This window comes from Homo sapiens, chromosome 2, assembly GCF_000001405.40.
Source record: "Homo sapiens chromosome 2, GRCh38.p14 Primary Assembly".
In the NCBI taxonomy this organism is placed as follows: domain Eukaryota; kingdom Metazoa; phylum Chordata; class Mammalia; order Primates; family Hominidae; genus Homo; species Homo sapiens.
This window is the reverse complement of record NC_000002.12, coordinates 144289312-144297675: the sequence shown is the minus strand read 5'-3', so window position 1 is coordinate 144297675 and position 8364 is coordinate 144289312. Positions and strand designations below refer to the sequence as shown.

The window sequence follows — 8364 nt, the reverse complement described above, 5'->3', positions numbered from 1 at the left end:
CCGGGAGGTGGAGATTGCAGTGAGCCAAGATTGCGCCACTGCACTCCAGTCTGGGAGACAGAGAGAGACTCTGTCTCAAAAAAAAAAAAAAAAAAAAAGACGGAATCCTGCTCCCAAAGGTCTGGGATTACAGGCATGAGACACCACGCCCAGCCAAGACTAGTAATTTTGAATTACTGAACCGAGACCTACCATTTAAATTGACTATATGATTTTCTCTTACTTATGAGGGACCAGAAAAGTCATGAGGATTATTTGAATTTTTACTATAGGCCAGGAGTTGATTTATTCTTGAGTAAGTGTAATAGACCAGAAAGAGACAAAAAGAAAGTTTTTGCGTGAAATCCATTGTTTCTCCGTGGTCAAGCTGGCAGGCACACTTTTAAAACAATGTCTGAATTCAGTATGCTCTTGGCATTATTCAAGAATAGATTTCTTGTAGGTAAAATTGACAGAGTAATGATAATTGTTGAAGCTGGGTGATGGTGGTTCACTAAACTTTTCTCCCTACTGTTGGGTATAATTGAAGATTTTCATGATGAAAAGTTAAATGATTTTTTTGACTCTTTGTGTTTTCTAATTTGTAGATTTGGAATGTTAGTAAATCACGTAATGCATTCCTTAGTATCAGAGGAAATCAATTTATAAAACTAAAACAGTAATAATAATAGTTTTCCATATGTAGGGCAAACTAAGCTAAGTCTTTTCCAAATTCACACCTCTCCAATATAAATTTTATTATTTCATTATAAAGCAATCATTCTTTGAAGTTTATACTCATTTTGAAGACTTCTCTTCATCTTTTTCTTGGTTTGTCATTTGTCTCTGAAGTGCAGGAGAGACCGAGTCCAGGGTTGGCCCTCATAGTGGTGAGGATGACCTGGGTGAAAGTGTAGTCTGGGTGAAAGTTCATGTTGGGACCAAAATTAAAGCTAAAGTTTATAAGAAATAGGATTGAGCCTGAGGGGTTTCAACATGGTACAGTGTTGGAGTGTGTCTCTGATTCAGAAATCGGGGTAATTTTTCCAAAATTGAAATAAAAATGAAGTAGTCCTGAAACAGTGTTGTTTAACTTTGTTAGAATTTATTTCTTTGGAATTTGAAATACTTTGTGTATTAGCTGTAAGTGATTGTTTTTGTGTGGATAGAATATTTTTTGTACTTTAATATTTTTTTCAGTCATAATTTTATAGCCAAAGGTAGAATCTTGTAACTTTGTCCTAAATGAACACTTTTGATGGAAGTCAATAAAATACTACACTAAATGTCCCTGTATACATTATATACATTAGTGATTTCTGAGTGTTAAAATTTTTGCCTTTCTTTTGGTTTAGTTTATCTTATAAAGGTTTTCTAAAGTGAATAATTATTAATCACATTGCACTGATAAATGACATGATTTTAGTTGGTTTTTGTAAGAGAGACAGTTTACTCATCAACCTTAGTGTTTCTTAGCAACACAAATTATTCCTATCTTGGGCATTTTCGTATCTTCCTTCAGACATACATGTGGAAATAGTTTATATGACCTGATGCTTGTCCATCTGTCCTGAGTCTCTCATTACTTCTTCGTTACCTAAACATCCTCATTAAACTTCATGTCCATACAATATATTCTTTCAGCTTAATAAACCACAGTTTGACCTCAGCATCATTTGGCTTGTCACAATCTTAAAAGTGTTCTGAAAAATAAATTTATTTTGTGTATTGTGTAGCTAAAAGTTACCGAAAATGTTATATTTTCATGTTAAAAAAAGTATAAAAATAATGCCTTGGGGCCAGGCTCAGTGGTTCATGCCCGTCATCCTAGCACTTTGGGAGGCTGAGGTGGGAGGATTGTTTGAGACCAGCCTGGGCAACATAGTGAGATCCCGTCTCTACAAAAAAATTTAAAAATTAGTCAGGAATGGTGCCACATACCTGTAGTCTCAGCTACTCGAGAGGCTGAGGTGGGAGGATTAGTTGAGCCATGGAGATTGAGGCTGCAGTGAGCCACAGTCTTGCCACTGCACTCCAGCCTGGGTGATGGAGCGAGACCCTGTCTCAAAATACAAAAACAAAAACAAAAAAGCTGCCTTGGGAGCTGGCTAACTGTTTTCTTATTGTTCTCATCCTCTAGGATGAGAGCTGAATCACTTCTGGTAGAGAAATAGGTTGACTATCTTTTGGCAAGTTGACATGTTCAGTTTAGATTATAATTTATGAAAATGCTGGATTCATAGGGAGTGTTGGCGTTCATACATCCATTCAACAAATATTTATTTAGCCCTTACAACATGCCAGGCTTTGTGACAGGCACTGGGGATACAGTGGTTAGTGAAAATATGGCATCTGTGCTCTCTATCTCTAGCAGAGGGATATGGTTGTCTGAGAGCATCAGAAAAGAACCTGCTCTGGTCAGGTAGGAAAGGCTTCCCTTAGGAAGTGAGCCTTAGCTGCTATCTGAAGAGCATACCAGTGGGAGCAGCATGTGCAAAGGCCACGTGGCAGGATGCAACAGGGCGCATTGAGAGAAGCTGGAGTGCAGAGTGAACACCTGCAAGATAAAGCTTTCAGGGAGATTGGTTTTAAGTAAAAACTTCATTCTTTATAGATGCTTTATATGAAATATGAAATCAATATTTTTATATTGACTTCTGTGTGTCATATTGACTTCTATATATCTATTTTAAGACAATAAACTTTGTTTTCAGATACTCAAAAGATTTGAAGATTTCTTCAAGTTCATTTTTCCCATTTGGTCCTTTAATCCCCTAACTAGGAATCCACTGATTATCCAACTGCTTGAGTATAACTACCCAAGTGGCAGGGTCCTCCCTTTCTTCTTTGGAACCAGCTTTATTTCCAGACACTTTTAAGCAATGGAGAGTTCTTTCTTATGTGAAGCCAAAATTCTGGATTTTACTCATTGATACTAGTTCTCAGTGGCAAAACTGAACAAGTCCAATTTGTTTATAGACTCTTTTACTTATTGAAGATTACTTATATATAGCTATAAGTCTCTTCCACAAAGAGTTTTTCACCCAATGTTAAACAAATTTCAAGTATACACACACACATACACACACACAAAATGAAACATCCTCCCTCCCCTACTCTGCGTGTACCAGTTGCCTGGCTTCAATAATTATCAACCTATGGTTTTGATTGATGGATACTTAATGAATACCATTTTTGCCCTAGGACTTGCTGGAGATATAGAAAGGGACCTGACACAGTTTCTGGCCTTAAGGAGCTCTCATTCCAGTGGGGAAGAAAAAAACTAAAATAATGATGTCCGAGAGCATCAGAAAAGAACCTGCTCTGGTCAGGTAGGAAAGGCTTCCCTTAGGAAGTGAGCCTTAGCTGCTGTCTGAAGGGCACACCAGTGGGAGCAGCATGTGCAAAGGCCTTGTGGCAGGATGCAACAGGGCGCTTCTGCAAAAGAGTTCAGAGTGAACACTTCTGGTTGATAGGAAATCAACTAAAATAATACAGCATAATGCATACAGTCATTTAACTTGTAAGAGAATTATGGGATTATAAAGAAATAGCGCAGGGAGGGCATTTTACCCTGCTAAGTGGTGGAAATGGGAGGAATTAGTATACAAACTTAGGATCTAGAAATAGATTTCCAGAGGGTTTTGGAGAAAGTAAGCAAGGTAAGCCAAAGTTCAGACATTAGGTCAGCTTCTGAGACAAAAATTCTCCATTGGCATGTAAAATCTTATGTTTATATGTACTTATAAAATAGAGCCATTGTGTAGTCCATTAAGAGATGAAGCATTGAGAATTGGACTTGGTAGCAAAGTCTTAATGGTCAGCTCAAACATTCTTGGGAGTTAAAAAGCCAAAAGAGACAGATACTCAGTAAACTTGCCTGCATGTAGTCTTTATTATTGTACATAGAAAATATTTGTACTCTTCTTTTAGCTTAAATCTGTTTATGTATATATATGCATTGATTATGTATTTTAAAATATGAGATAATTAGTTATTACGCTAAGAGGTCAGGGATTCAATACCTGGAGAGATGATATCCCCACAGCAAAAACACTGCTTTTCTCTCTAGACAGTGTTGGAGTCTTTACTTAGTTCAGTTTGAAATGCATGCTGTGTGGACACAGGGAGGACTTAATGTTTAGAGTTATGTTCAAATCTATCCTTGTCTTTAGAGCCTTACCATGGATAGGTTATTAGTGTGATCTTGTTACTGAGATTTGCCCTACCTGAATTTTGAGACCCATATAATATCTTTCAGTACAGCTACATGAGAGTATAAGCATATATATGCATGCATTCTAATGCAGTGGAGCAATTTTTCTCTTAGAGCTTTTCCAATCAAGGAAGCAGGTACTATTTACAGTGTATATTAGACAAATTGGAAGCAGGTGCTTCCCACTCTCTCTCATCTTTGTAGCCATTCTTTCTCTATGGCCTTGCTTGTATCTGTATACTACATGCATCTCTATGGTTTTTCTCTTTTTGTATGTTCTAAAATAGATGTGTGACAAAAAATCCATAATGCAGTCTTTTTTATGCACTCAATGTTAATTTATGTTTGAATACTAGAGTCGACTATTTGGTCATTCTTTTTTAGTTTATGATTTGCTTGTTTATTTCTTCTCCTGTTTACTATTTAAGAATTACATATATACTCCAGTCTGGCAGAAGTGATCAAATATTATTATTTTTTACAAAATATCTTCAAAATTTTATTGGTATGTAGCTTGGTGCCACATTTTGAACATGTATATGATCATTTGTTATGTTTGAGTGTTTCTGAAATTGAATTACTTGATAATTTGTGAGTATTATCTTTTAAAATGAAATAAAGTGACAAGGTTTATCCTTTTGAATTGATAGGACCTGTTATTAAAATCATATTATTCCCCATAAATCAGACATAAAAGTCTTATTTCTTCTTTCTGTTTCAATTATATAATTTAAGTAAGTTATAGCTTCCTTTAGACATGTCCCAGTTTATTGAACATACTCAATTTCCATTGTAAGCATGTAGATAGGATTGGTGACTCTATAAATTTTTTGGGATAAATTTTATAAATAGTATTGGAAATTAATCTTAGAATTCTAAGTGTCACTATTATTTTTCTTTAATGCTTCTGTTTGTAGTACAGGGTACCGAGTAATATAGTGGATAAAACACATAGTCCTAGCCCTAATAAGAAAGAAAGACTAGTGTGTAAGTAACTTGAATAAATGGTGTAAGAGAAGCACAAATAAAACTCAGCTGGAAAAAAAAAATTGTATTAGTTCTTAAAAGATATGATACTTGAGCTGGGCCTTAAGTAACTGTTAGAAAAATGATGGGGGAAGATTTGGGAAAAGGGTATTTTAGGCTGAGCAGATAACACAAGAAAAGAGAGTCTTAAATGCCTTGTATGATTGAAGAGTCTGTAGTGGTCTCACATAGGAGCAGAGGGGGAGCTGTTGGTGATTAGACTGGACTGTCCCAAACTGGGTTTGATGATCTTGTAAGGGTGTGCAGATCTTACTTGTTAGGCAGTGGACAGCCTTAGAAGGTAATAGACCATCTTTAATGTGTCCTCTGATATATTGATAACTACTCTTGTTGTTTGTAGTAGATATTACAGTACTCATTTTGGAGAAAAACTAACACTCAGAGGAGCTAAATGACTTGCCCAAGGTCTTGTGACAACTAGTTGTCAGAGCTAGAATTCAAACCAAATGTTCATTTGAACCCGCATGTTTCATCTCTTTTAAGTGGGGGAACAAGGCAATCAGGCTAAATTTCAGGAATGTTTCCAAAGCAGTTGGTTTCTTGGATTAGAAAGTAATACTGTAGAGGCATGGTAGCCAACTGGGAGACTATTTTAATGATTCAGACAAGTGGTAGTATGAACTTGAATTTGTGGTAGTAAAAATAGGACTGAAAAGAAGGGTTTGCATATGAGATTAAGGTAGGAGAATTGTCAAGACTGGGTCATTAAGTACGGGTAATAAGAATGCATTATTTCAAACCTATGTGGTAGAAAAATGATGTCCCCAGTGGCTGGCTTACCTGAGCTAAGAGCCAGCTGGTTTAAAAGAGAGACTGGGGCTTGCCAGGGATCCAGAATTAAGTGATATAATGTTAAAGTGATTTGATTGTGAAGAGTTAAAGGGTGAGCTATAAAAGTCACATTCTAGCTTCAGGTTAAACATATGAGCACAGAGCTGAAAACTAGAGGCAAAGCCTAACATTTTGGGTAGACTGTGAACTGAGTATGGAAGGAGTACCTGAATAAAGGGTGAGGGTGCAAAACAATTATCATGGGCTGAGACTGTGCTGACTGTTGTCCATTTGTACAAAGTTTTGCTCCCTCTCAGCTTCCTCTGTGGTTGTACTAGCTGTTATGGGTTGAACTGTATCCCCTTCCAAAAAGAAATGTAGAAGTCCTAACTCCTAGTACCCCAAAATGTGAACTTATTTGGAGATGAGATTTTCACAGACTTTAACTTAGTTTTGGAGATAATCAAATTAGCATTAGATTGTTAGGGTGGGCCCTAATCTAATATGACTGGTGTCCTTATAAAAAGGGGAAATGTAGACACAGATATTTACAGAGGGAAGACTATGTGAAGATTAACTAGAGAACAGTATTTACAAGTCAAGGATTGCCTGAGGCTACTAGAAGATGAGAGAGAGACTTGAAACAGATTCTCCCTCACAGCCCTTCTAAGGAATCAACCCTGCCGACACCTTGATCTTTGACTTCCAGCCTTCAGAATTATGAGATAACACATTTCTGTTGTATCAGCCACCCAGTTTGTGGTACATTGTTATAGCAGCCCTAGGAAATTAATAAAGCAATATATAGGGGATTGGGAGAGGTATAGGGGTCTGGTTGCAGTATTAAATAGGGTGGTCAGGAAAGGCCTCACTAAGAAGCAGATAAAATGAGGAAAGAATTGAAGGAGGTGAGGGAATAAGCCATGAGGATATTTGCCAGGAGAGCATTCCTGACAAAGGCATGTGCCTCTGATGTATTTAGGTGGAAAAAGAGGACAGTGTGTCTGTAATGGGGTGACCTGGGAAATGAGGTCTGAGAGGACATACAGTGAACATGGGCAGATTGGGTAGGGCCTTCTAAACCATTGACAGCCTTCTGACTTATATGCATTGATATGGAAAGCCAGAGGATTTTAAGCAGAGTGATCTTATCTACACTTTAAAAGGATTATCTTGGTCTTTGGGATGAAAATAGACAATGGGGATAAGGTAGAGAGACCAGAAAGGAGGATTGTGGAATGGTCCAGGCATTAGCCAGAGCTGATAGAAGTTTCGATAGGAGGGTGGCAGTATATGTGAGAAGAAATGGCTAGTACTGGATATATATGTTATTAGTAGAACATTGGGATATTATGACAGATTGAATATGGGGTATGAGAGAAAGTTTGGACTAAGCAACTGGAATATAACAGAGTTTGATTGAGCAAAGAATGATTCCTGAATAGAGCAGGACCCTCTGTTCCATCCCCTTAGCCCCCAGCCAGAATAGGTTCAGAGTGACTCTGTGCTGCTGAATTGGAGAAAATTTATGAACAGAAAAAAAAAAAAGTAACATAAAAGAAAACGGAAGTGAGGTACAGAAACAGCTGGATTGGTTACAGCTTGGCGTGCCTTATTTGAACACAGTTTGAACAGTTGGCTGTCTTTGATTGGCTGAAACTTGGTGATTGGTGCAAGAGTAGGTTACAGTCTGTTTACACATCCAGTTGAGTTACAGTTCACTACGTATGGAGAAACCTTTAGGCTGAACTTAATATATGTGAGGAGGTAGCTTTAGGCTATACTTTTTAACAGAACAATTTTTTTTCCCATTCTTTTACTTTCAGCTTATTGTGTCTTTGAAAATAAAGTGTGTCTCTTGTAGATAGCACATAGTTGGATCGTGTTTTCTTATTCATTCTGCCAATATGTGCCTTTTGGTTATAGTGTTTAATCCATTAGCCTTTAATGTAATTACTGATAAGGTAAGATTTACAATTGCCATTTTGCTACTTATAATCTGTGTGTCTTATTTCTTTTGTCTTTCTTTATTCCTCCATCACTGCTGACTTTTGGGTTAAACAGCTATTTTCTCCCCCGGCCCTCACTATCCCCACTGGATGCTTCTTACACCAGTAAATAGCTATTTTCTAGTGTACCATTTTAATTTTCTTGTTTCATTTACTATATTTTTTGTTCTTAGTTGTTTTATGCACATGTTCTCATGTTCTACACTTTGAGCTTCTAGCAGCACTTTGAGCCTATGCTCAGTGTTTTCTAGATGAGTTTCATAGGGAAATAATGCCAGGGTTCTGACTTACTAATGGTCAGGAAATATGACTGAAAATAATTTTCTTGGCTGGGCACAGTGG

General features: G+C 37.1%; 1 protein-coding gene across 58 annotated transcripts in view, besides 1 other annotated feature; it reads left to right on the top strand.

Moving 5' to 3' along the window:
- The window catches only part of QTMAN (queuosine-tRNA mannosyltransferase), a 395002-nt gene that overhangs the window by 35394 nt on the left and 351244 nt on the right, over positions 1-8364 (top strand). The window contains exon 4 of one of the 58 annotated variants that reach the window (XM_047445844.1): positions 3184-3311. The exons of 54 other annotated variants lie outside the window; for them this stretch is intronic. The gene's annotated coding sequence lies outside the window, so the exon portion shown is untranslated. Of the gene's footprint in view, positions 1-2362; positions 2402-3182; positions 3312-8364 lie in introns of those variants that run through there. 3 more of the 58 variants (NM_001354361.1, NM_001006636.5, NM_001376328.1) reach the window with 3 other exon arrangements.
- Positions 6406-6906: an enhancer, noted in NCBI's record as "H3K27ac hESC enhancer chr2:145048337-145048837 (GRCh37/hg19 assembly coordinates)". NCBI's record gives its function as "activates a minimal SCP1, AML or CMV promoter by ChIP-STARR-seq in primed H9 embryonic stem cells {active_cell/tissue: H9 hESC(primed)}" and the evidence as "EXISTENCE:reporter gene assay evidence [ECO:0000049][PMID:30033119]".